We start from the raw sequence: 27,425 nt of genomic DNA, 5'->3' as shown, positions 1-27,425 counted from the left end.
CAGAATTGGACGAAAACGAGGTGGGGCCAGCAGGCGCTCGGCAGGGCGGGCTCGCTCTTAACACGTGACAGCGCTCAGCCAATTGGCGCGGGGCGTCCGTAGCCACGGCAACAGGTTGCTTCTGCAGTCTGAGCTGAGCGCCTTTCGCACGACTTGGAGTTACGGTTTATCTGATACCCCGGTACCCCTACGCAAGCAAGCCCACATCGACACACATTCACACACGCCCTTCAGCACCCCCTCCCAGCACCACGACCATGGACGACGACTATGAAGCGTACCACAGTCTGTTCTTGTCGCTGCTCGGTAAGCCCCGGGAAGAAGCGTCTGCAGGGAGCGCTCAGCGCCCTAAGGACGCGTGAAAGTGGGGTGAGGGCAAAAACTCAGCCACAGATATTGTGCCGACCCCCTCTGGGTGAAGGGTTGCCATGGAGTCGGGGGCAGGTCATGTACATTTCTGAGATTTCTATCTGAGCCTAGTTGGAGGAACCAGAGGCCCGACCCATGTGACGGGAGCCCTCCAGCTCGCCCTGTTTCTCTGCAGGACATTAATGTATTCAGTACTGGAGGAGAGGCATGGAGAAGACGTCAGTCTTCAAGGTTTTGGCAGTAATGTGCTGGGGACCAAGTTCTTGGCAAAGCAATGCAGCTTCACGGGTAAAGGACAGAGATAAATGGATAATTACAGAATAAGAAGGGGTAAATGCCGGGCCCAGGGATGACACCCAGGAGTAAAAGGTGTGCTGAGGGTATGGGATGGGGAGGAACAGTTCCAAGCTTTTGGAAAAGATCTTTACACTGGAGCTTAAAGGATAAAAAGGAGTTCTCCAAGCCAAAAGGGGAAGGAAAAGCATTTCGGGCAAGGAAACAGCATGACCCAAGAGGTCTGGTGTCTCTGGAAATGAGGTGAGAGAGGTCAGAAGGGACAAGATCATAAAAGATACTGCAAGCCAGGAGATGGAGAGGCCACTGGGAGTGGCAGGACTGGATTGGGAGCAGTCAGAAAAGACCTGAGACTGAGTTGGCAGACTCAGAATGTTGGTGTGGGGAGATGAGAGCTGGGGGCTATAAAGCTTGAAGACTGAAGGTCTTCTCCATGCCGCTTCTCCAGCACTGAACACATTAATGCCCAGTGGAGAAACAGGGAGAGCTGGAGAGGCTGGCCACCTTTCCCAGGCACACAGGTCAGGGCTCTGGTCAAATGCCCAAGCTAAAGATGCTGGGAGGTGAGGGAGAAGGCCCAGGCTAGAGGGAACTACGGGACTTGGGGGCTGGTTGGTCAGGAAACACAGAAGAGGCAAATAAAGATGGTTCTCAAGTTGGCAGCTGGGGGACCTGGTAGATGGAGATGTCTTCCACAGAGATAAGAGAACGTACTCAGAGGACCCAGTTAGTGGGGGAAGGGGCACAAAGACAAATCCAGTCTTGGTTGGTTGAGTTTAAGATCCTTGTCAGTAGCTGGGCACAGTATCTCACGCCTGTAATCCCAGCACTATGGGAAGCTGAGGCAGGAGGATTGCTTGAGCCCAGGAGTTTGAGAATAGCCTGGGCAACATAGTGAGATCCCATCTCTACAAAATTGTTTTTTAAAGTTAGCCAGGCCTGGTGGGGTGGCTCACGCCTGTAATCCCAGCACTTTAGGAGGCTGAGGTGGGTGGATCACGAGGTCAGGAGATCAAGACCATCCTGGCTAACACAATGAAACCCCGTCTCTACTAAAAATACAAAAAATTAGCCGGGCATGGTGGCAGGCGCCTGTAGTCACAGCTACTCAGGAGGCTGAGGCAGGAGAATGGCATGAACCAGGGAGGTGGAGCTTGCAGTGAGCCAAGATCATGCCATTGCACTCCAGCCTGGGTGACAGAGCAAGACACCATCTCAAAAAAAAAAAAAAAAAAAAGGTTAGCTAGGCTTAATGGCATGCACCTGTAGTCCCAGCTACTCAGGAGGCTGAGCTGGGAGGATCATTTGAGCCCAGGAGTTCAAGGCTGCAGTGAGCTATGATTGAGCCACTGTACTCCAGCTTGGGGAACAGAGCAAGACCCTGTCTCAATTAAAAATAAATAATAAAAAAAGATCCCCGGCCGGGCGCCGTGGCTCACGCCTGTAATCCTAGCACTTTGGGAGGCTGAGGTGGGCGGATCACCAGGTCAGGAGATCGAGACCATCCTGGCTAACACAGTGAAACCCCATCTCTACTAAAAATACAAAAAATTAGCCGGTCGTGGTGGCAGACACCTGTAGTCCCAGGTACTCGGGAGGCTGAGGCAGGAGAATGGCGTGAACCCGGGAGGCAGAGCTTGCAGAGAGCCGAGATCGTGCCACTGCACTTTAGCCTGGGAAACAGAGCAAGAGTCCGTCTCAAAAAAAAAAAAAAAAAAAAAAACAAAAAAAAACCCTGTAAGCCATCCAAGTGGAGATGTTTTAGGAACAACTGGAGGTATAAACTTGGAGCTAATTCCAAGTCAAAAATATTGGTATGGATGTCCCCAGCATACAGAAGGTCATAGAAACATGAGAATGGAAGGGATTATTTAAAAAGAGAAGAGACCCTGGGTATAAGCCTGGAAGCAACAACCTTTAAGGAGTAATCAGGAAAAGAGGGGCCCAAAAACAATAGCCGGAGAGGTAGAATTGGACATAGCAAGAGATTGAATCAAGCCAAGAGCAGGGAGAATTTCAAGAAAGAGTAGAATTGTTTCCAGACACCTATAGGCTGTCTGAGAAAAGAGAGAACAAGTGTGTTTTCTGGGACATCCATGGGGAGGACTAGAACCAAAGGGTAGAAAGTCCAGGGAAACAAATTCTGGGTCAATATAAGGAAATATTTTCTAGCAGTCAGAGTTTAGTGTCCACCATGTTAAGTAGAAAGTTCCACGTCACAGGAGATGTATAAACAGAGGCAAAGTCTGCCAGTGGCATTGAGGAGAGTGTCCCTGACCTGGGCAGGTGATTGAACTAGCTGGCGTCTGAGAGCTTTCCTTGCCAATTTCCTAGGAACATTGTCACATAGTCTCTACCCATAACTACACAATGACAGCCTCTTTTATTATAAGAGCCCATTTCCCTTTCTGTCAATGGACACAGGACTCCAAAGAGCACTAGAATGAAGCTCCCTGAGGAGGTTTGGTGGGCAGGCACCCTTGGAAAGTGGGGTCAGGGGCTGGTGCAGGTTTAGAACTGTGAGGAGAATGACTCGGCCAGGGGAAGCCCTGGGGAATGCAGTGCTCTTCAGAGGGCACAGCAAATGCAAAAACTGAAAACCCAGAGCCAGGAAGGAACAAGGCACCTCAGACAACAGAAAGGAGGACAGCAGCTGGGACCACATGAGTGAGGGGGCGGGGGCTGGGAGGTGACAAGGGAAGAGTGGGGAGCAGGGCCAGTGAAGGCAGCTTTGTAGGCCACAGAAGGAGGCGGGTATTTATTCAAAGAGCACTAAGAATCCATTGAATGGTTTCAAATGGGGAAGGGACAGACTGTGAATTTACATTTGTAAGGCTCTCCTGGCTGAGGGCAGAACATGGATTGGGGGTCTAGGGAGGACCCAAATGGGAGCAGCAAGACCTGTGGGGAGCAGGTTTTGTGTTCCCGTGGCCTGCAGGGTAAAGTTTCAATCTCTTAGCCTGGCATTTGAGATGACGCCAACCTTATTTCCCACTAACCTCCTCCTTTACACACAGTGGGCTTCCAACATGTGGAACTGTCTGGTGACCCTAAAATCCCCAAATCCCACTCCTGACCTTTCCCCATCCCTGCCCCTCCACCCCATGAAGCCAGACCATTCTTGAAGGTCCACATCAAAGACACCTCTTCCTTGATGCCCTCCCAGGTCCCACAGTCAGCATTTCTCCCCCAACTGAGAACATCTTGTTACCCTCTGGGTGCCCCACCTTGTTCCATTGGGTGGACTGAGAACAGGTGAACCACGGTAGGTGCCCAGCCTAGTTTAATCTGCACCTGGTTCAGCACCAAGCCCTGGGGGATTCTCAATAAATACTGATTTGATGAATGACTACATTCTCAGTCATCCCCTGCTGGGAATGAACTTTCTTGTGGTCAAAGTAATGATACATGTGTTGTTTAGAAGTGTTCGCTTCCATCCCTATTGATGTGTAATATCTGTTCTAGCATTGCTATAAAGAACTACCTGAGACTAGGTAATTTATAAAGAGATGAGGTTTAATTGACTCACAGTTCCTCAGGCTGTACAGGAAACATGGCTGGGGAGGCCTCAGGAAACTTACAATCATGGCAGAAGGCAAAGACAGGCACATCTTACATAACCCAAGAAGGAGGAAGTGAGAGCAGGGGGAGGTGCTATGCTTTTGAACAACCAGATCTTGTGAGCACTCGCTCTCATGAGAACAGCAAGGGGGACGTCCTCTCCCATGATCCAATCACCTCCCACTAGACCCCTCCTCCAACAATGGGGATTATAATTTAACATGAGATTTGGGCAAGGACACAGATGCAAACCATACCATGATGTTTACTTTTCTTATTTGCTGACTCTGAAAGGAACACATGGGCCTTGTAAAGAGACTTAACAAATGTACTGAATGTCCACTTTGGGCCAGGCTGGGCACCGAGGACACAGGGGAACTAAGACACAGTCCTGGTCACTGGGAAACTCACAGGCTGTTGGGAAAGAAAGATGCAGAAAGTATCTTCATTTCAGAAAAATATGGTAAATGCTTATGATGGGACTAAGTGTGGGGGCTATGGGACCCAGAGGGCCCATGAGAAGGGGAGTGGGAGGGCTTCAAGGGGCCGGGATGCCTGAGCTGAGTCTCAAAGGGTGAGTCAGGGATCAAGAAGTGAAGCAGGGAGGGAGAAGAGCATGTCACAGGGAGGAAACAGCATGGCTTGTGTGTGTTGGTGGGGCAGATCTGTTTGGATACAAACGTAAGGGAAGGCAGAAGGAGCCAGAGAAATCGGAGAGGCTGGTAGGGGTGAGAGGACCAGGTGGGGCCAGGTTAAGGAGCTTGAACTTTACTCTAGAGGCAGTTAGGAGCCATGGACAGGTTTTAAGCAAGGGAGTTTGGGTTTTAGGAGGAAAATGACAGTGACAGTATTTCCAATAAGATTGTTATATCCCTTCTGATTTTTTTAAATTTTTTTGAAAAAGGGTCTCTGTTGCCCAGGCTGGATTACAATGCGGGTAATCTCAGCTCACTGTAGCCTTGACCTCCCAGGCTCAAGTGATCCTCCCACCTCAGCCTCCTGAGGAGCTGCGACTACAGGCGTGCACCACCATGCCCGGCTAGTTTTTAAATTTTTTTGTATAGATGAGGTCTCACTATTTTGCCCAGGCTGGCCTTGAACTCCTGGGCTCAAGCAATCCTCCCACCTCAGCCTCCCAAAGTGCTTGGATTACAGGCATAAGCTACCATGCCTGGCCCCTTCTGATTTTTTAGAACACTTCCAAACTGTTATCTCATTTGATCTTCATAACAACTTCAAGAGGTAGATAGAGCAGAGTTTATATCATTTCAGAAGTAAAATACTTGAGACTCAGCAGGATTGGGTGACAGCCCTGGGTAATATCAAGTAACAGCTAAGAGCCGAGCTCTGGGGCCAGACAAACTGAAGTTCATGTCTCAGCTCTGCTACTAATCAACTGAGTGACCTTGGGCCTCTCTAGGCCTCAATGTCCTTATCTGCAAAATGGGCATAATCATAGTACCAGCATCATAGGTCTGTCCATTTTTCACTCACCAAATATTTACTGAGTTCCCATTATATGTAGACACTGTGGAGGTGTCAGGGCTCCAGTCAGGAACAAGAGAGATAGGGTTACAGTCTTCATGGAGCTCATAGTCTACTAGAAAAAATAAACATGAACCAAATAATTGCACCAGGGGTCTCAAAGGCAAATTGCTGCCCAAACCGAGGACTTAATAAAGAAAATGAGCTGCCTGTGAGACAAAAAGGAATGGGGGAGCCTGTGGCAAGCTGGAGAGGGCAATGCCTCAGCCCAAAGTAGCTCAGATTGAAAAATATCAAGCAAGTTGTCAAACAAAACAAGACCTCAGCCCTCATTCAGCATGAGGGCCACCAGTTTTCAGCCCTTGTTGTACCCAGTCGTGATAAGTGGTCTGAAGGAAAGTGCAGGTTGTGATGCAAAGATGGGACCTGGAGGATAAGGAAGAGTGCCCAGGGTGTGGATGGGGAGGGAGCACTCCTGCTAGAGGGAGGAGCACGTGCCAACCCCTAGTCAGGATGAGGCTTGGACCACTCAGCAAACAGAGAGAAGCCCAGGCATCCAGGACATAGTAAGGGAAGAGAAGCAAGGGATTAGGGGGACAGGTTGACAGAAGAGGGGCCCGGGACTTCATTTTAAGGTTATCAAAAGTCATGGAAGGGCTTCAAAATGAGTGCATGGTGAGTATATACCAATAATAGCAGATATATTATGTACAAAGCAACTCTAATAAATTGACTGATTTTAACATCACTCCCATCCGATAAAATAGGTTACCATCATTATGCCCATTTTACCAATGAGGAGGTTGAGACAGAGAAGTTAGGTGGTTTGCTCAAGATCATGCAGCCAGTAGGTGGCAGGGCCAGGACTCAGACCGAAGAACGTTCTGGCCCCAAAGCCTCTGCTCTTAATACTGTGCTGCCTCAGATGATCACACAAGATCAGACTGGCATCTTTAAAAGTTCATTCTGATTGCCAATGGGAGGTGTTGGGGGCTGGGTATGGAGAAGATGAAATAAGAGAAAGCATATAGAGCCCTTAGCTTGCTGCCTGCTGTTGGGAGCACCCGGTAACATTAGATGAAATTATCCTTACGATTACAGCAAGACAATGATAAAGCCTGGCCTGGGATCCAGGGCCCTGTTGCCCAGCCTGGAGCAAAAGTGTTTTTCCTTCCTGGCTCCTTTCAGTCCTCTTCCAGAGAGAAACTCATCTTTTAACTCTCTTACCCCAAGGACTCTGCCCGTCTAAGACTCCCATCAATGAAAATGCTCCCGTCTTTGATCCTGAACCGGTCATTGCCCACTGCTTCAAGCAGTTCCAGCAGAAGGACTTCCGCCTGCCTCAGACCCGCCGGCGAATCATCATGGTGCCTCGCAAGGAGGATCAGACACCCCTTAATCCTGCATCCCAACCTCAGGCTCCCCCAAAGCCCATCCCCAGCTTCAAAGTTCTGGAAGCTAGAGATATCCAAGAGCAGCCAGAGGACAGGAAGACCTGGCTGAGCCAGAGGTCGAAGCTGCGGCAGGAGCTAGAGTCCTTTGGTGATGTAAAGAGGTGGCTGGAGAACAAGCCCAGCATCACGCCTTCAGAGGCCAAGGTCTTACACATGATCCACGAGGAGCAGAGTGCCCAGCCAAATGCCTCCCAGGCAACTACCAGGACCACCAGGGTGAGCAGCCCCATTTGCCAGATGAAGACACCAAGGGTTTAGGGATGCATCATTATTTTATTCCCTTGGGTTAGGCTGGATAGGGATAGTTCACACCATTTCACAGAGGAGCAAACAGAAGTCTTGAGAGGGAGGTGTATTAGTTGTCTAGTTATCTATTGCTGCATAACAAACACCCCCAAATGACTGAAAGCAACAAATATTTATGATCACACACCGTTTCTAGAGTCAGAAATCAGGGAGTAGCTTTGCTGGGTCGCTCTGGCTCAGAGTCTCTCATGAGGTTGCAGTCAGGATGTTGGCCTGGGCCACAGTCATCTGAAGGCTTGACTGGGGCAAAAGGATCTGCTTCCAAGCTGGCTCACCCATGTGGCTATTGGCAGGAGGCCTCAGTTCCTCCCCACATGGACCTCTCCATAGGGCTGCTTAAGTGTCCTCACAGTATGTCTGCTGGCATCCCCCAGAGTGAAGGGTCCAAAAAAGAGAGCAAGACAGAGGCTGCCCTTTCAGACCTAGCTTCTGAAGGCCTCAGTTTCAGAAGTTCCACACTATCACTTCCACCACATTCTCTTTGTCAGAAGTGAGTCCCTGAGTACTACCCATGCTCAAGAAGGAAAGAAGACTCCATCTTAGAAAGGAGGGAAGCAGAAGAGTTTGTGGACATACCTTAAAATCACCCCAAAAGGGATCATCCTGGCAGTCCATCTTATGGGGTATTTAAAATACCCATTGTTCATTCATTTGTTCATTGACACAAGTTTGCTGAGGGTTCCATGTAGCAAGCTATTGTGAGGATGACGATTGTGAGGTTGGGAGGAAAAGGAGGATCCCCCTTTTACAAATGTGGAAATAGAAGCTCAGTGAGGCCAACATTTATCCAAACATATAGTGATAGTAAGTGATAAGGGTACTACCAACTCATTCTCTCTCTGTGACATTTCCTTGGGATAAGAAGACAGATAAGTTGGGTTTAAACATAGCTCTGCTACTTCCTAGCTGTACCATTTGGGTCTCAGTTTTCTCATCTATAAAATGGAGACAACCATTGTTCCTACCTCCTGGGGTCGCTATGATGTCTAAATGCATTCATTTATATAAGGTGCCTAGGACGCTATTGGGCACATAGTGAGCACTCAAACATGATTTCCATCTGTATTATTATTGTAATCTCACAAGTGTCCATTGGGTTGGTTGGCCCGGAAACTTCAGGGTCAGTCCTTGCTGTTATTATAGCCCAAATCCTAATTTCATGGGTCTAACACACCCTCTTCTGCCAGCAGCATAGTGTCTAAGAATAAGAACTAGACTTGGGTTAGAAATGCAGCTGTACTGCTTACCTGCTGTGTGGCATTGGGAAAACCTTTCACATCTCTGAGCCTGATTCCTTATTGTGAATTAGGTAGTACCTCATACCTAATTCATAGGATCATTTATTCCTTCAGCAAACAATTACTGCCTGTCTTCCTACGGCCTGGGCTTTGTTCAGTATAAAGGTGGGAGATGGGGATACACTGTAAATAAGACACGGTCTTACTTCCAGGGTGTCTTAGCCTGGCCTCTCTTGCTGTCACAGAAGACATGATGCTGGGTAATTTATAAAGAAAAGAGAGTTTTTTTTGGCTCACAGTCCTGGAGGCTGAAAGTCCTCATGAGGTTGCAGTCAGGATGTTGGCCTGGGCCACAGTCATCTGAAGGCTTGACTGGTTGGCCTCTAGGGAGGGCCTCGTGCTGCATCCTAACACAGTGGAAGGCATCTCAGGGTGAGGGGGTGCACGAGAGGGAGCCAAACTGGCTTTTCTAGCTGATCCCATTCATGATAACGAGCCCTCTTCCATGATAACCAATTAATCCTTAGCCCATTAATCCATTAATCCATAAATGAATTAATGGATTCATAAGAGCAGACACCTCATGACCCAATCACCTCTTAAAGGCCCCACCTGTTAATACCATTATGTTGATAACAGTATTAAGTTGCTTCTGACCCAGCCCATCTGTGGATCATCAAAAGATGCTGCATTTCCAACGAACTCCTGGTGATGCCTGTGGTAGTGGTCCACGGGACCACACTTTTACTTTTGCTAGCTATTTAATAATGTAAATTAATTATAAATTTAAAAATGGAGTCCTTCAATCACACCAGCCACATTTTGAGTGCTCAATAGTCACATGTGCCAAGTGGCTTAACAAAAGTCATGTTCAGTTTAAACATGTATTTTGGAGGGGACAAACATTAAGCCATAGCACAAGGTGTTCACATGTTAGTGGGAGAGGCAGACACATAGGATTAATGGCTCTACAGTTTGCTACAGGCCATTAATAGAGGTGGGTCTCTATTATAATAAGCACCCTGGGAGGAGCACAGAGGAACAATACCCTAGGGAATGGGAAGGCCCTTTGTAAACTGCCCAGTGCTGCACCAAGGTAGAAGATTATCATCCATTACAAAATATGCCCTTTCACTTGGAATTGGAGAAGGAGGATTTGGACAGATAGAGAAAGAGAGAAAAGTCTTCCAGGCAGGAGGCCTATAGCAGATGCAAAGGCTGGGGGCGGGGATGGGGAGTCTCCACCTGGCTCCAGGGAAGGGTATAGGTTTTGGTGCACTGAGAGACCAGACCAGTGGGATTACGCATACTGACTGGTTTGACAGGAGAGATGTGGATAAGAATGAAATTTTAGTTCCTATATTGCCCAAGCCTTGTGTTTTTCAGATGAGAAAACCAAGGCTCAGAGAAGCAAAGTCTCCCAGGCATTTTGTGGCCAAACACAGTTGCCCTGAACCCAGTGCCCTTTGTACTCTATCCTGCTATTTAGAGCTGCTCGTCCTCTCCTTAGTCCCTAACTCTGGGGACTGCATCCGCCTGGCCTGTCTCCTTTGAACTCTCTCCTCTGCCCTACCCTCTCACCTCTTCCAGAAGAAAGCCCCCAGGCTCTCCCGGCTGTCCCGCCAGATGGTGCCCCAGCTCCAGCTGCCCGAGCCCCCTGCCCTGTCGGTCATGTACTCCTACCTGCATAGCCGCAAGATCAAGATCCTGGAGATATTTCACAAGGTGGGCCAGGGTGAGAACCAGAGAATCACCAGGGAGGAGTTCATCGCGGCTGTAAAGGCAGTAAGTGCCACCTGCTTTCTCTGGATGGGCCTAAGTGGGCAGGATGTACATGTACTCCCTCTTTGCCACCCCCGCCCCTCCCCCGCCATGCTGGGTTCTGGTTCAACTGAGAAGTAGACACAAGGAGTGCAAACTGTCAGCCTTATTACTTATTAAGGCTAGAAAATATGGATTAACTTGTGGCCAAATCAGATCCTCAATATCTGCCCCGCACCAGTCTGACCTTGAAAACCCCCACCTGAGTGGAAAGTCTGTGGAGTCCACCTCATAACCAGCCAGCTACCTTGGAGAATCCCTGTCTTGCACAGCAGACCCCAAAACTAAGATCAGAGAAAGCTGGTAGAGTGTCTCCAACTGTCACTGGCATATAAGTTACATGGGTGTCCTGTCGAAATGCAGCTTCTGACCCAGCACATCTGTGGGTCATCAAAAGATGCTGTATTTCTAACGAGCTCCTGGTGATGCCTGTAGTACTGGTCTATGGACCACACTTTTACTTTCACTGGCTATTTATTAATTTAAATCAATTATAAATTTAAAAATCCAGTCTTTCAATCACACCAGCCACATATTTTGAGTGCTCAGTAGTCACATGTGGCAAGTAGCTCCTCTACTGGACTGCACAGATGTGGAACATTTCCATCATCATGGAAAGTTGTATCGGCCTAGCAGAGGTCTGCAAACTGTGGCTCAAGAGACAAGTCCAGCCTGCTTCCTGTTTTTTAAATAGAGTTTTATTGGAACACAGCCACACTCATTCATCCTTGAATTGTCTATGGCTGCTTTCATGCTACAATGGCAGAGTTGAGCAGTATGACACAGACCATATGGCTAGCCAAACCTAAAATATTTACTATCTGAGGTTTTTTGTTTTTAGTTTTTTTTTTTTTTGGTTTTGGGTTTTTTTTTTTTGGTTTTTTTTTTTTTTTTGAGGCAGAGTCTCACTCTGTCACCAGGCTGGAGTGCGGTGGTGCGATCTTGGCTCACTGCAACCTCCGCCTCCCAGGTTCAAGCAATTTTCCTGCCTCAGACTCCCGAGTAGTTGGGACTATAGGCGTGCACCACCACGCCCGGCTAATTTTTGTATTTTTAGTAGAGAAGGGGTTTCACCATGTTGGCCAGGATGGTCTTGATCTCTTGACCTTGTGATCCACCTGCCTCAGCCTCCCAAAGTGCTGGGATTACAGGCATGAGCCACTGCGCCTGGCCTTATCTGACTTTTTATAGAAAAAGCTTGCTAACTTGCTAACCCTAGTCTAGATGAATTACGTTTTTATACATTTTGAATGCAAGATACTTTACCCTAGCATGCTGGCTCATGCCTGTAATCCCCCAACACTTTGGAAGGCCAAAGTGAGAAGACTGCTTGAGGCCAAGAGCTTGAGATCAGCCTGGGTAACACAGTGAGACCCCCATCTCTACAAAAAATTAAAAAACTTATCCCAGTGTGGTGGTACACACCTGTCGTCCCAGCTACATGGGAGGGTCAGATGGGAGGATCACTTGAGCCCGGGAGTTAGAGGCTGCAGTGAGCTATGATCACACCACTACACTCCAGCCTGGGTGACAGAGCAAGATCTCAACTTAAAAGAAACCCAAACAACGACAACAAATACCTTAAACAACTTTAGGGAGTTGACTGTGATGTCTTTCGTGGTTTTAAATTATTATCAGTTTTCTCACACATGTTTTATGACATGTAATTATCTCAACAACATTTCAAAGCATTTAAAGATAATAGTCTTTAATCTCCATAACCAAAAGTTTAAATATTACATTCTTTAGCACCAGGAGAGTTCATTTTTTTGTTTGTTTGTTTGTTTGTTTGTTTGTTTTGAGACGGAGCTTCGTTCTTGTCACCCAGGCTGCAGTGCAATGGCACAGTCTTGGGTCACTGCAACCTCCCTCTCCCTGGTTCAAGGGATTCTCCTGCCTCAGCCTCCTGGGTGCTGGGATTACAGGCATGTGTCCCCATGCCTGGCTAATTTTGTGTTTTTAGTAGAGATGGGGCTTCACCATGCTGGCCAGTCTGGTCTCGAACTCCTGGCCTCAGGCATTCCACCCACCTGGGCCTCCTAAAGTGCTGGGTTTACAAACGTGAGGCACAACGTCCAGCCAGCACCAGGAGAGTTCTGATCTTACTTAGCTCTGATCAAGTTAGTTCTGATCAAGGCTAGGCACAGTGGCTCATGTCTGTTTACCCAGCACTTTGGGAGGCCGAACCAGGCGGATCACTTGAGGCCAGGAGTTTGAGTAAAGTTCAGTGAACAATGACTATTGTCTAAAGAAACTGAAGAACAAAATCATATTTCCTTTAAAACTTTTCTTCTTGAATATCCAATGTTGCTGGCAAGCATTATACACCTCCAGAGTTGCTCATCGTCCTTAAAAGAATGAGGAGTATAGTATTCTTGATCCCATTTTCCAGGAATTAAGGGAGATTTATGTGTTACTTGTGTATAGGGATGATCCACATGTGAAATCATGCTTCGTATCCAGCATGGTAGATGCTGCCATTGAGACTGGTAGGAAGTGGGGTGGGACCCTAGAGGAAGAAGAAACCCACTCTATAAAGATGGTGACATCTGGACTGGACTTTGAAGGAGGGATAGGAGTTTTTCAGGCAGAGAAGGGGAACTGCCTGAGCAAAGGCAAAGGTAACAAAGTGCAGAGTTCATTCAAGGACCGGGAAAGGGCTCTGAGCTGCAGCAGGGACCTTGGGTATAGTAGGGAGTGGTTGAGGATGAAACTGGAAGCAGGATGGGGGTCTGAGGAGGCTGGTAAGGCCTTGGCCATCAGAGCAGGATGTTTGGATGGGAGCCTGCTAGTCTGAAGGTCTTCTCTCTCCTCAGGTCGGAGTCCCTCTGAAGAACCAAGAGGTGGAGGATATAGTGATCTACCTCAGCTCTCTTGGGAAGCACAACACCATCACCATGGATATCCTGGCCAATACCTACAAGCAGTGGTCTATGGCTCAGCAAAGGAGCAGCCTGGCCACTGCAAGGGAGCGTGCGTACCCCTCCCCATCCTGTGCCTCCACCTCCCCGTCCTGGGAGCAAGCATGGTGCAGGCAGCCTTGGCCTCTCCTCCAAACTCACTTCCTCAGTGTGTTCCCCAGTTTTGGCCGACTGTGGTTTGGCCAAGCCTCTGGAAATTTTCAGGCCCAGAGATTAACTAAGGAGTAGATATTCCCTTGAGTGCCCAGCTACCACTGTGTCCATTCAAAGACAAATGAGTCCCAGCCCTTGTTCTTAGAGGAGGATACTCAGCCCACCAGAGCCCACCTGAGAGGCTGAGAACTGACCCAAATGGCAAGCCTTTCCAGAGACATTTATGTGTGTGTGGGTCCAAGGCCTCCTCACTATTAATCCATAGCTTATTGATAAAATTCTTGTTCAGAACCAGAATTAGCACATGTTTACAGTTTACTGGAAAGTGTATTTTGGTATTCTGCTATCAGGGGTATTATGGCAGGGTTGCTGTCAACAGTTGTAAAGGTTGTACATGGCTCAAGTTCCATCTGCCAAGCAATACATTTGTGGGGCCACATCTGTCCAGACAAGGCACAGAGGCAAATTAGAAATGGACTTGCTAAAGCTCTGGCTGTGAATTTACTCTACAACACAAAGGTGCATTGTATAATATTTCTTTATATCTTAGTACCATTCTTGTAGTAAACAAACAAACAAAAAAGAACCATTACAACCACCCACCCATTCTAGCACCCTTCCCAAACATAGCCACAGCTTTGTTTTTCTAAATGAAACAAATCTTGCTCTGTTCCCATCTACCAGGTTGGCAGGAACTTAATCTCATGCATGTTTGGGGCTTCCTTGTCCTCCCTGAGTCACACAGGAGCCCTGGAGGAGGCAGTGGAGGGGTTTCCTAACAATGGTAAAGATCTGGGGTGAGGCCGTTGGAGTTTACAGTCACACCAAGAGGAGTTACTCAGCATCCTCACTGGAGTGGCTCATTTGGGGACAGCAGGCAGCTCAGAGCATCCATTCCTCAGTCCTCCAGGAGATTTTCAATGTCCAGTCTCAACCAGCTGCCCTGCAGAGAAACTATCACCTCCCAAGCAGGGTCTCTGCCTCTCTCAGAGCTCAGGGAAGCTCAGCACCCCAACAGTCGCTCCTGCATGTGTCACCACCCCAACAGTAGTAATCTCCTTTATGTCCAGCACATTTTTAAGGTCACCTCAAGTTGGGCTGCTTTCCCTCTGATACTCTTTGTGCCTTTTTGTTATAAATTACCAAGCTTATCATTATCTGTGTAGCTGGCTGTGAGTCATTTCAATGACCACAGTGTGCTGTGATGCATATTCGCAGCAGAGATATTTTGGGTCCTGTTATTTCCCAGTAAGTAAACACAAAGCCAAGCAGCAGACCTTTGCTCTCATGGTGCTACTTTGGCGTCATCACTGAGTTCTTTTTCCCTGGTGAGCAATAGTGGGTAAGATAGGTAGACTGGGGTGTGTAAGAATTAAAGAAAGAGGAAAGAAACAGGAAAGGTGGCTCAATAGTCAAAGACAGGTTTATTTTAGAGAAAACAAACCTGAGAGGGGCTGCTGGCTGAGTTAGGTCAGAGCCACATTCTCTTACAGACTAAGAGTTTTTAAGGATTCACAGTGGAAGAGTTTATCAGAGGCTTGGACTGCTTCTCTGTCTCTTTGTTGTGTTTATCTGGGAGGCAGAGTTGCGTGTCTGTTTCCATACATCTTTCTGCAGCTGCAGGCATATCCCCCAAGTCTGCTTTTAGCTTCCCTATCTTAGTGCACCTGAAGGGAAAGGAATGTGCTTATTAAGGCCCACAGTTTTACTGGGGCCCATTGTATGAGGGTGAAGTTTGGCAGTCACCCAAGAGACTTTCCCCCGACCTCCCTCTGTGCCTGAGCTGTCTTGTCTGTGTTTTACTGTCTGCTCTTTCTGGCTGCTTATAGTTAGAAGAGAAGTGATTTCCTTGAAATGCATGAGGCTAGAAAGGGAGCTGGAACTTAAAGTGGCGGTGTTTGTCCCAGATGACGGTGCTCCTGCTCTGTCCGGGTGTCTCTCACTTTGTCTAAAGAGGCAAGAGTTTGAGCGTCTTGGCAGGGGTGCCTTCTTCCAGTAGTTCTTCTTGCAGTAGCTCTTCTTCATTCTTGCAGAATGATCTCAGTTTATCCTTTATGTCCGCAGAGGTCAGGATTGCTATTCCTGCTTTACGAGGAGGAAGCTGGAGCTCAGAGAGGCTGAGCCACTTGTTCACAGCCTCAATAGAAGGTGGTAAGGTCAGGATATTATTTCAGCTTGAGACGATGAAGGTCTGAACCAGGGCAGGGACAATGGGATTCTTTCATTCATTGGAATCTTTGTTGAGCAACTACTATGTGCCACTTCTAGAAACTGGGAACACAGCAGTGGGCCAGCCAAAGCCCCAGCTTTCGATGAGCTTGCACCTAAAGGGCTGGTGGTCAGGGACGGCCTCTCTGAGAAGCAGACATTGGAGCTGACATCTGAGTGATTGACAGGAACTAGTCTTGGGGGAAGCACAATCTAGGCAGATAGAACTGTGAAGGCAAAGGCCCTGGGGTAGGATAGCTTGCAAGAGACAGAAGGTGGTCAGGGTGGCTGGGTGGAATGGGTGAAGGGTGAATGGTATGCCATGGACCAGGTGGGAAGGCAGCTGAGGCCAGATGGTACAGCAGGGCCTTGTAGCCCAGGGAGAGGACTCTGGGTTTTGGTCTAAATGCTGTGGGAAGCCAAGGGAATGAGGCGATCTGGTCGGTCGGTCAGTCTGTCTATCTATCTATCTATCTATCTATCTATCTATCTATCTATCTATCTATCCATCCATCTACACATATCCAACATAAGGAGACTCATGCAATGGGGTCTCCTTATGTTGCCTAGGCTGGAGTGAAGTGGCTATTCACAGGTGTGATCATAGCTTACTGCAGCCTCAAATTCCTGGGCATAAGCAATCCTCCCACTTCAGCTTCCTGAGTAGCTAGAACCACAGGCGTGCCACTGCACCCTGCTTTATATATGTGTATATATATTTTTGGGGGGGGATGGAGTCTTGCTCTGCCATCCAGGTTTGAGTGCAGTGGTGTGATCTCTTCTCACTGCAACCTCCACCTCCCGGGTTCAAGCAATTCTCCTGTCTCAGCCTCCCAAGTAACTACTACAGGTGCACACCACTGCACCCGGCTAATTTTTGTATTTTTAGTAGAGATGGGGTTTCACCATATTGGTCAGGCTGGTCTTGAACTACTGACCTCAGCTGATCCACTCGCCTCAGCCTCCCAAAGTACCCTGCTCTATATTTTTTGTTTGTTTGTTTTTGAGAGGGAGTCTCACCGTGTCACCCAGGCTGGAGTGCAGTGGCACGATCTCGGCTCACTGCAACCTCCAGGTCCCAGGTTAAAGCAATTCTGCCTCAGCCTCCCGAATAGCTGGGACTACAGGCACGTGCCACCATGCCCGGCTAATTTTTTGTATTTTTAGTAGAGACGGGGTTTCACAGTGTTAGCCAGGATGGTCTCGATCTCCTGACTTCATGATCCGCCCTCCTCGGCCTCCCAAAGTGCTGGGATTACTGGCGTGAGCCACCGCGCCTGGCTATACTCTATATTTTTTAAAGATCCTATTTGCTGCTTGGTGAGACAGGGTGACAGGACGAGAATGGCAACCAGAGGGCTGGGGTTGGTGCAGTAAGGGACGCCATTAGTGGAGATGGAGAGGAGGGCCACATCTAAGGTACAGCTTAGGTGGCTTAGGTGGGCACTGCCCAGACGTGTGGGAAGGGAGCGGAGGGGTGGCCTGGTGCCTGCTGGGTGACACTGGATAACTGCTTGGCAGGTTCCGTGGCTGGGCACCCTCTTAGTCCCTCCTTCCTTCATCTCTTCCCTCTGACTCCAGATTATATCTTGGCCAAGCACAGAGATTCCCTGAAGGGTCCGCTCAAGAAGCAGGAGGTGGATTCAGCCCCACAGCTTCCCAAAGTGGACCTACTGACGGTGCCTGCAGTCGACACGCAGATGGAGACGCGGCCCATGACCCTGGAGGAGATGGAGGAAGTGGGCAAGCGGTACCGCGAGCGGCAGCGACAGCACAAGGTACCTCGCCAGCCCAAGGAGAGCATGCGGCTTGGGGACTGGAGCAGCTGGGGTTCAGATCACCGCAGCAGCACCACCCGCTGGCTGCAGAACCCTGGGGAGGGGGGTCTTCGCCTCTACAACCACCCCTTCTTCACGTCCCTCATCTGTAAAATAAGAACAATACCTGCCTCCTGAGGTTTTTGTAAAATGTAGTAAGATCCTGTTTCTGAAACTATCACGTCCCCCTCTCCCTATTCTTTAATTATGACTTTTCATCCTTAGACCAGGCCTGCATTTTCATCACAGCTGGAATCCAGGCACCTGGCACAGGGCCTGACACTGGGTAGACTCTCCAGAAATACATGGCAAGTGAAGGAAGGATTGATTGCATGAATTAGCTTGTCCAGTAAACATTTATTGAGAGCCTACCATGTGCCAGGCACTCTTCCGGGTGTTATAGTAAGCATAACAGTCCCTGCCCCTAGGAAGCTGACAGTCTGGTAAGGGAGGCAGACAACATCAATACAATACTACATATAAATATTCATATATAATATAGTCTGGGAGTGGTGTCTCGCACCTGTTAGCCCAGCGCTTTGAGAGGCCAAGGTAGGAGGACTGCTTAAGCCCAGGAGTTCGAGGCCATCCTAGGCAACATAGGGAGATCCTGTCTCTACAAAAAATTTAGAAAGTTAGCCTGGGGTGATGGCATGTGCCTGTGGTCCCAGCTACTCAGGAGGCTGAGGTGAGAGGACTGCCTGAGCCCAGGAGGTTGAGACTGAAGTGAGCTAAGATCGCACCACTGGACTCCAGCCGAGGGGAAAGAGCAAGATCTTGTCTCAAAAAAAAAAAAAAAATTATATACAGGCCAGGTGCAGTGGCTCATGCCTGTAATCCTAGCAATTTGGGAGGCCAAAGTAGGAGGATCACTTGAGGCCAGGAGTTTGAGACCAGCCTGGGCAACACAGCAAGGCCCCGTCTCTACACAAAATTTTTAAAAAATTAGCCAGCATGGTGGCATGTGCCTGTGGCTGCACCTACTGAAGAGGCTGAGGCCAGAAGATGGCTTGAACCTGGGAGGCCAAGGCTGCAGTGAGCTATTACTGCACAGTACACCCCAGCCCAGGCTACAGAGTGAGACCGTGTCTCTAAAAAAAAAAATAAATAAATAAACACAAATATATATATAATTAAAAATACATATTTGTATTTATACCTATAATATTTGTATTTGTACATATAATAAAATGGCAGATATTGCTAAGTGCTATATCTACTAAGATTTGATTCAGTTGCATGACAAGAAAACCCAAAATGTTTGAGCAGGGACCAGCAAAGTTCCCCTGTAAAGGGCCAGATAGTAAACATTTTAGGCCTGGTGAGCCATGTCTTGTCTGTCGCAACTACTCAGCTCTGTGTTGCAGCAGGAAAGCAGCCACAGACAGCACCTTAACAAATGAGTGTGGCTGTGCTCCAACAAAACTTTATAAAAACAGCTGGTGGGCCAGATTTGGCTCATGGGCTGGTCTTTGCTGATTCTGGTTTTAGAAGCTTTAAAAGTTAGGGTTTTTTTTTCCTTGTTAAAAAACAAGGTGGTGGCAGCCAACAAAAGCAGCTACCTGCTCCGCCAGCCTCCTCCTATCTTAGCTCATGGCTTTCACCTCAAGGTCACAGATGGCTACTCCTAATTTAAATGTCACTTTTCTTTTCTTCTCTTCTTTTCTTTTCTTTTTTTGAGACAGTCTCACTCTACTGCCCAGGCTGGAGTGCAGTGGCTTGATCTTGGCTCACTGCAGCCTCAACTTCCCGGACTCAAGCCATCATTCCACCTCAGCCTCCTGAGAAGCTGGGACTACAGGCGCGCGCCACCATGCCCAGCTAATTTTTTTGTAGAGACAGAGTTTTGCCATGTTGCCCAGGCTGATCTCGGACTCCTGGGCTCAAGTTATCCTCCTGCCTCGGCCTCCCGAAGTGCTGGGATGACAGGTGTGAGCCATCTTGTGGCCCCGCGAATGTCCTTTTTCAATAGGACGCCTCTAGGGCATGTGTACTGTGTTTTACCATATATGTTACACAGTCATGTGTGCACTCCTGCACACCCGTCTACAGGGCTGTGACTTCAGAACCTGAGCTTCTGAACCTGAAGTCTTCACTGACTTCAGAACCGGAACTGCAGCCCCACTGGACGTTGGTTGCCATCACCCCTCATGGGGACCTCGCAGGGGAGAGGTCGATGAGGCACTGCATCTTCCTTCTTCTGGCCAGGAGGAGGGACACAGGCGAGAGAAGGGCGAGCCCCTTTCTGCTTCCTTCGCAGCTCACGATCCCCTCCATCCAGTACACGGAGCAATGTCACCTGGTGCGCTGTGGGAATCGGCACTTTGATGAGCACTGCCTCCCGTCCACCATCCACGGGGATATGAGGGAGCTCATTGACTCGGCCCGCAGGCACAACTTTCTGGTCTACCTGCAATGCTGGAAGCTCTGTAAGTCCTATGGCCTCCCGCTGACAGAGGACATCCTCATGAAAGGTAAGGGCCTCGGTAGCTGGCCCTAGGAAGATGCCAAGGGAACCCCAGAGCTGGGGTGAGGGTGATGCCACCCAGGGCACCCATGCAGCCATTCAAGCCACTGTAATCTCTGGTGGGGACATTGGGAATAAGGCGGAGTGGGGGCGTGGAGGAGAAGAGGAGGAGCCCAGTCTGTTTTGCTGCTAGATGGGATTTCTAGAACACAAGACCCGGAGGTCTGGGTTCCACAACTGAGATTTGGGGGTCTGGATTCTGGAACCCTGAGCTTGGTGAACCAAAAGCTCATTCTAGAGTAGAAAGCTCCAAGGACAGGAGTTCCAAGTGAGAAAGCCCTGAGGTTGAACATAAAGGAAGAGTTGCAATATTGAAGAGGGATATTTGATAGAAATGATAACTGCTATCAAAACAAAGCCTTTCTCTAGGCCAGGCTGTTGCCTGGTTCTTCTGCAACAAGCAGTGGGGTATGAAAGCACGTGGAGACAGGACCTGCTAAAGCCCTTTGAGCAGAGAGCACTCAGACTCAGCCCTGAGATTTCCACACTGCTTCTTCCCTCTGCTTGGGTGGAAAACACGTTTTCATACATCCAAGCTGGTCTGAGCCCACTGTGTCTCTGCGGGGTGAGCACTTCTAATATGTGGGAGCGGAGAAGGGCCCAGCCCCGAGATGACAATTTAGCAATGCCTGCATTCCAAACTTGTGAATTGGTGAATGTATAAATTTGTTTTGTTTTGAAATGGAGTCTCACTCTGTCGCCCAGGCTAGAGTGTAGTAGTGCGATTGCGGCTCACTGCAAGCTCCGCCTCCCAGGTTCAAGCAATTCTCCTGCCTTGGCCTCCTGAGTAGCTGGGACTAAAGGTGCGCACCACCATGCACAGCTAATTTTTGTATTTTTAGTAGAGATGGGGTTTCACCATGTTGGCCAGGCCGGTCTTGAACTCCTGACCTCAGGTGATCCACCTGCCTTGGCCTCCCAAAGTGCTGGGATGACAGGCATGAGCCACCGCACCCGGCCTGGTGAATGTATAAATTTAATGGGCAGGATCTTCTCTGTGCTTTAAAAACATGAAGGAGCAAGCTGCACTTGGGGGCAGAGGTTTTCTCCTAGGAACCTCTGCCTAGGAAGGAACTTTGGCCATACTGGGAAATGTAGCTTTCTGAGAAAGGAACACGTCACACAGGCAGTGGTGTGACTTACGTGAGAACTAGACTTTACAGTCACAATTGATTATTACCATCTTTTTCCCAAGAGGGAGGGAAACAAGCGCTAAATTTATAGGGCCCTGGGTCTTCTTAGATTAGTTTGCTAGGGCTCCTATAACAAAATACCAGTCTGTGGACTGCGCGGCTTCCACAACAAGAATTTATTTTTCACCGTTCTGGAGGCTGGAGGTCCCAGATCAAGATGCCAGCAGGGCTGGTTTCCAAGGCCTCTCTCCTTGGCTGGCAGATGGCTGCCTCCTTGCTGCCTCCACACAGTTTTTTCTCTGCACATGCACACCTGTTGTCTCTCTTGTGTGTCCACATTTTCTCTTATAAGGACACCAGTCAAATTGGATTAGCACCCACCCATGGACAACCTCGTTTTAGCTTGATCATCTCCTTCAAGACTTTATCTCCAGGCTGGGCACAGTGGTTCACCCCAGTAATCCCAGTACTTTGGGAGGCCAAGGCAGGAGGATAGCTTGATCCCAGGAGTTCAAGGCTGTGGTGAGCTATGATCATACCACTGTACTCCAGCCTGAGTGACAGAGCGAGACCCTGTCAAAAAAAAAAAAAACCCACCAAAATCTCCAAATGAAGTCACAACCTTTTTTATCTCCCCCCTCCAACGGTCACATTCTAGCAGCGTGAAGTGGCTCATGCCTATAATCCCAGCACTTTGGGAGGCCGAGGTGGGTGGATTGCTTGAACCCAGGAGTTCGAGAACAGCCTGGGCAACATGGCAAAACCCCATCTCTACAAAAAATACAAACATTCATCAGGCATAGTGGCATGTGCCTGTAATCTCAGCTACTCAGGAGGCTGAGGTAGGAGGATCACTTGAGCCTGGGAGGTCGAAGTTGCAGCTAGCCGAGATTGCACCACTGCACTCCAGCCTAGGTGACAGAGCAAGACCCTTTCTCTCTCGCTCTCTGTCTCTCTCTCATACACACACACGTGCACACACACATCACATTCTAAGGTACTAAGGATTAGAATTACAACATAAGAATTTCGGGGAGACACAATTTGGCCCATCACAAGTGTATACAGGGGAATGTGGTCAGAGGCTGTCAGGAACACAGGCAAGCAACTTCAGTGGTCATTGTCTCCCACATGTGCTACCTGGGTTGGGAGGGCAGAGACAGAAGGAGATCCTATAGCTCTGGATGCTGACTTTTCACCAAAACATCCCTCCTTCTTCCTTCCTTGGGGAACCTCACCTTTCCGGATTATTTACACCATGGTCTTACGCAGTGGTGGAGCTGCAGCTCTGTCTTCTCAAATGCAGCCAGCTTGCCATGTGCCCTGGACTGCTCCTCTGGGTTAGGTCTTCCCCTCTGTGCTTCTTTGTCTGTCCCCACCAGAATATCGAGCCACTTTTTTTTTTTTTTTAAGAGATGGGGTCTTGCTTTGTTGCCCAGGCTGATCTCGAACTCCTGGGCTCAAGCGATCGTCCCACTTCAGCTTCCCAAAGTACTGGGATTACAGGCGTGAGCCACTGCATCCACCCCTGGCTTCTGCTAGCTGCTGGGTTCCTACATGAGTGAGCTTCACCTGTCTGCAGGATCTCACGTTCATGGGCACACAGGAGCATCCTGTGGGTGGGACTAGGCCCAAATCCATCTCTGACCACTGTCTTGGCCACTTGCTATTCGGTATCTTTATGACAGAGGCCTGATCTCCTATAAGCAGAGAGGCTCAAATATCAGGACTTCCAGCTCTGTGTTCTAGACTAGACCTTGGTGGCTCAGACTCCAGGCTTCAAGCTCAGGAGCCAGAATTCTAAACAAGGTCTCCCCCTCCCCTGTGAATATAGCTTTATTGGCTTTCCACCCTGGTTTTGGCGATAATACTTGCTCATTTGAATTTTTTGAAAACATAAAAATCAAAATTCCCCAGCCTGAGTTGGCTGTTGTGAATATTTTAGTGACCATCCTTTCACAAATCTCTTTTCCTTTTCCATTTACAGAAAATTATTTATATAACTCATTGTTAAATCACACTTTAAAAAATCATGTGTACCTTTTGAAAATATTAATGTTACATATCTCCCCCTTCCCTCTCCTTCCTTCTCACCTCCACAGCCCCTTCCCAACCCCCAAATAACCAACATTAACTCGCTGGAGCGTAACTTCCATCACTTTTTCTAGAACATGAGCTTTCATGTGTTACCAGCTTAAGACAAGCACTGCTTGATAGTTGCAGAAGGTGGAGACCCTGGCTCAGTATTTTTTTTATATTCAGCACATCTGAGAAAACTCTCCCAAGGATCTCCATGAGATTAATTCAAGACAAGGAGAAAACTGCCACCAAACAAATCCAAGTGGGCTGGGCGCAGTGGCTCATGCCTGTAATCCCAGCAGTTTGGGAGGCCGGGGTAGGTAGGATGGCTTGAGCCCAGGAGTTCCAGACCAGCCTGGGTATCATAACAAGAACCCATCTCTACTAAAAATTTAAGAAATCAGCCAGGCATGGTGGTGCATGCCTGTGGCCCTAGCTACTTAGGAGGCTAAGGTAGGAGGGTCGCTTAAGCCCAGGAAGTTGAGGCTGCAGTGAGCCATGATCTGTACTTTAGCCTGGGCGACAGTGTGAGACCTTGCTCAGAAAAACAAAACAAAACCGAAAATTGGTCTAAGTTAACCTCATCAAGTCTTGGTCAAATCCTCCTGCCTCCTGGGACAGCTCAGACCTCGTTGCACCGGGGCCTTGGGGGCTTTGTTGTCCTTGTTATGAACAAACCCCCCTCATCTGTAGTCCCCTGAGCCATATTGTCCCAAGGCCCCTTTCCTGGCATCACACTACAGCTATATGCATGTCACCACTGGGACAGTGGTTCAAGGGACCCCTCTGCAGTATTTTTGCAACTTCCAGTGAATCTACAACTATTCAACAATAAAAAGTTACTATATAGATAAGAAGAAAACGTCTTAAAAATGTGAATTAAAAAAAAAAAAAACACCTCCTCTGACCCCAGAGGCTTAGGGAGGGATGGGCAGTCTGGGTTGATGGGTGCAGATGTTTCTCTTGCTGTCCACAGCCTTGCTGTACCCAGGAGACAAGATCATTTTCCAGATGGACAAAGTGTGCCCCATCCGGCAGCCGGGAGGCTACTACTCTGACTGGAAGGTCTTTTCTCCGAATCTGGCTCTGCTCCGGTCCCAGGGCCCTGGCAAGTCTAAGAGGACTGACAAGCTGAGTTTCGGACCCCCTTTCTCCCTGCCTTGGCCTCCTGCTCCATTGCTATCCCTTCAGTGTGGGGGCTGGAGGCTGGAGTACCTGGGGCGCCATGCTGTGCTTGCGTCTGCATCCTAGGGCAACATCCCCCAACCTGACTGCTCACTGCAGACTGGCCAGTCCCGGGTCACCCTTGGCGCATGTCTCAGGATCATGGCCTGCTGGCCTCAGCTCCCACACAGCTACCCTCCTGACCCCAGTCCTGCACAATCATAAGGTTTCTGGAAAAGATGAAAAGGAGAGCCTCCTTAGAGAACAGGGCTGGAGCGAGGGCCTTCACAAATCCCCAGCCAGGTGTCAGGGCCCTGCAGAGAACAGGGGGCAGCCCTTTCTCTGCCCTGCCACCTTGCAGCGGCCACACCCCTTCTCTGGCAAGAGGTGGGCTTGCAGCTCATAGGAGGATAAAAGAACATTTCCCCGGGACCTGCCTCCAGCCCTTTCGAGAGGCCAACCTGAGTCTTCTCTAAGAAAATGGCCTCCTTTGGTACTCCAAAGCCTGAGCTACCCAGATTTGAGTCAAGCAGCAGGTGACAACCCGTGGGCAGCATCCGTGGGTGACTGCAGAGGAACAAGGCAGCATCCCTGCAGAGGCAGGGGCGCGGCATGGGAGGAGGAGAGCCCAGCTGGCCGGATACCATGAGGTGGGAGGGGCCTGGACCTGCCCCTGCTTCTAGACCCCTGCCAGCTGCCCACTGGGTGTGTGGCCAGAATGCCTGCAGTGGGACACAGCAGGGCCCTGTAGAGATCAGACAGGCCTTCGGTTAAATGGACAAGGCACTTCTCTGAGTCTTAGCATCTTCATATGTAAAGGGGCCTAGTAGCTCCTACCATACACTATGAGGATCAGATGAGAAAGAGTGTCAACATCTTAGCAGGGACAGCACTCAATCAATGATTGTCGTTGTTTTACCTTGCTCTGGTTGGGGCATCTTCAAGTGCAGGAGTAGGCCCAGGCCTGCAGGTGGGTCCTGGCCATGACACGGGCTGTGACTTCCTTCCAGCCCCGGGGTGGGCCAGGAAGTGGCTGGGAACCCAGGAAGGGGATTTTGGTCCATGCTTAGGTAGGCCATAGCTAATAAAGGATAAAGAGAGTTCTCTTAGGTCAAGGAGAGACGTTGACTGTATCTTGCTACTTATGGTTGATGGAGGCTGGGTGGGAAAGAGTGCCGTGAACGATTAGTGATGTCTGTCAGGCTCAGGGTTGGAGGGGAAGGGGGTTAGATTTCACCACCTTTGTCCTCAGGGCTGGGTTAAGCTCTGGAGTGGGGAGTAGGAGCCAGGGACCCCAAAAGGATTTGGCAGTGACTTACTGAGCCTCCCTCGTAACTACCCTGAGAGGTCTCTATTCTGGACCATGAGAAAACCAAGGATGAGAAAGGGGAAGTGACTTGCCCAGGTCACCTGGCCAGATTCTGAGGGTAGGTCCAGCTGACCCAAGCCCACTGTGTTCCCCTGGAGCATGGAGGCACAGAGTCAGGGTCCACCCCAGGTGGAAGACATTTTTCTTTCAGAGCTCTCGTTTGAGACTTAGAAACGGGTCCACCCCTGCGGCCCTGACCTACTCCCTAAAGCCCCATTGGCCTGGATTTCCACTCTCCTCACAAAATGCCTCTCTCTTCTCCACTAGGAAAACGCCAAAGAAAAGCAAGAAAATGCGCTTTAAGGAGTTTGAGGAATTTACCAGGTCTGTGGCAATCATCTAACTCCACAAGGAAGGAAGGTGGGAGGAGGGGCAGCTTCGCCTGAGACAACTGGGACTCTGCACTCCTGGCACAACAGCTGGGGCTCGGTGCCCTGGCCTGAGAGGCAGTGACACAACACAGAGAGGGCCAGGAGGCATTGCTCTGGGGCTTTCCATGTGTTCACTCACTCAGATCCTCCCAACAGCCCTACGAAGTGACACTAAGCATATTCATTTTACACAGGAGGAAACTGAGGCACAGACAGGGTAAATATCATGCTCAGAGTCGCACATCTACGAAGTGATGCAGTGGGGATCTGAACCCAGCTAGGGTGGCTGCAGGGGCCGTACTCCAAACACCACATTAAAATGCCTCCAGATAACAGATGGTTCGCGCTTAAGACTTTGAGTTTAGAGGCATTGGACAAGGAATGAAGCCTGCACTTGGCCACTTGCTCAGTGTGCGACGGCCTCCCCAGGCCTCTGGGTCCTCACAGGTGAGGTCGACAGGATAACAGAGCTGACCATATGGAACTGTGGGGAGGACTGAGGTGCTGAAGTGCTTGGCACAGTGCTAAATCTCCACTTTGGTCACAGTTGGTGGGCTCTGCGATGAAGCCTCAGCTCTGGCCTGTCTGCCATGACAACCATCCCTGTGTCTTCTTGTTTTCCAGGAAGCTGAAGGTGAAGAGGTCCAGTGGTCTGCAGCAAACACACCCCAATTCCTTCTGGCCGGGTCATCTTCTGGATAAGCTGCAGCTCTACCTGCCCACTGTGGCCACAGACCGGAGCCTGGCGCTCTTCAGTTGTGTTCAACACCAGCCCCATGTCTACCCAGCCACCTACCACCCTGACCACTGGTGGCCCCTTAGGAACAAGAACTACATGACCCACGCCCATTATGATGCCGCCAAGGTGTACTACATCAACTAGAGCTAGCCAGGTGTTGCCGGACCCAGCCTTCCTGGGCCAGGGGCCAGTGCAGCCAGCGGCCCAGAGCCCAGACACAAGAGGAGTGTCAAAGAGTCAAACTAAAGAAATCCTTTCAAAGAGGGATGGACCGGGGGCCAGTTCCCTCTGGACTCAAAGTGTCCAGTGTCTCAGAGGGTAGATGTGTCCAAGGAATGACGTGCAGTTTTTGACTATTTCCCTCCCCTGACCTCTGCCCTTTCTACATAAAGCAGGTTGGAGTTTTTCTCATTTCA

The 27,425-nt window shown here is 49.3% G+C and overlaps 1 protein-coding gene across 1 annotated transcript, besides 3 other annotated features; it reads left to right on the top strand.

Annotated features, from left to right (window-relative positions):
- EFCAB12 (EF-hand calcium binding domain 12) lies at nucleotides 110-27,425 on the top strand. The gene is made up of 9 exons (NM_207307.3): nucleotides 110-306; nucleotides 6,943-7,379; nucleotides 10,298-10,492; nucleotides 13,345-13,501; nucleotides 17,392-17,588; nucleotides 19,888-20,101; nucleotides 24,343-24,496; nucleotides 26,167-26,223; nucleotides 26,895-27,425. Exons 1-9 carry the CDS (start codon nucleotides 258-260, stop codon nucleotides 27,151-27,153), a joined length of 1,719 nt encoding a protein of 572 aa, NP_997190.1. The 5' UTR covers nucleotides 110-257; the 3' UTR covers nucleotides 27,154-27,425.
- Nucleotides 4,156-4,205: an enhancer, noted in NCBI's record as "active region_20511". NCBI's record gives its function as "activates an Ori minimal core promoter by ATAC-STARR-seq in GM12878 lymphoblastoid cells {active_cell/tissue: GM12878}" and the evidence as "EXISTENCE:reporter gene assay evidence [ECO:0000049][PMID:35858748]".
- Nucleotides 9,847-10,346: an enhancer, noted in NCBI's record as "H3K4me1 hESC enhancer chr3:129137243-129137742 (GRCh37/hg19 assembly coordinates)". NCBI's record gives its function as "activates a minimal SCP1, AML or CMV promoter by ChIP-STARR-seq in naive H9 embryonic stem cells {active_cell/tissue: H9 hESC(naive)}" and the evidence as "EXISTENCE:reporter gene assay evidence [ECO:0000049][PMID:30033119]".
- Nucleotides 17,463-17,963: an enhancer, noted in NCBI's record as "H3K4me1 hESC enhancer chr3:129129626-129130126 (GRCh37/hg19 assembly coordinates)". NCBI's record gives its function as "activates a minimal SCP1, AML or CMV promoter by ChIP-STARR-seq in naive H9 embryonic stem cells {active_cell/tissue: H9 hESC(naive)}" and the evidence as "EXISTENCE:reporter gene assay evidence [ECO:0000049][PMID:30033119]".

Source organism: Homo sapiens, chromosome 3 (assembly GCF_000001405.40).
Source record: "Homo sapiens chromosome 3, GRCh38.p14 Primary Assembly".
Classification (NCBI taxonomy): Eukaryota; Metazoa; Chordata; class Mammalia; order Primates; family Hominidae; genus Homo; species Homo sapiens.
The sequence above is the reverse complement of the archived record's forward strand: the minus strand, read 5'-3'. Positions and strand labels throughout refer to the sequence as shown.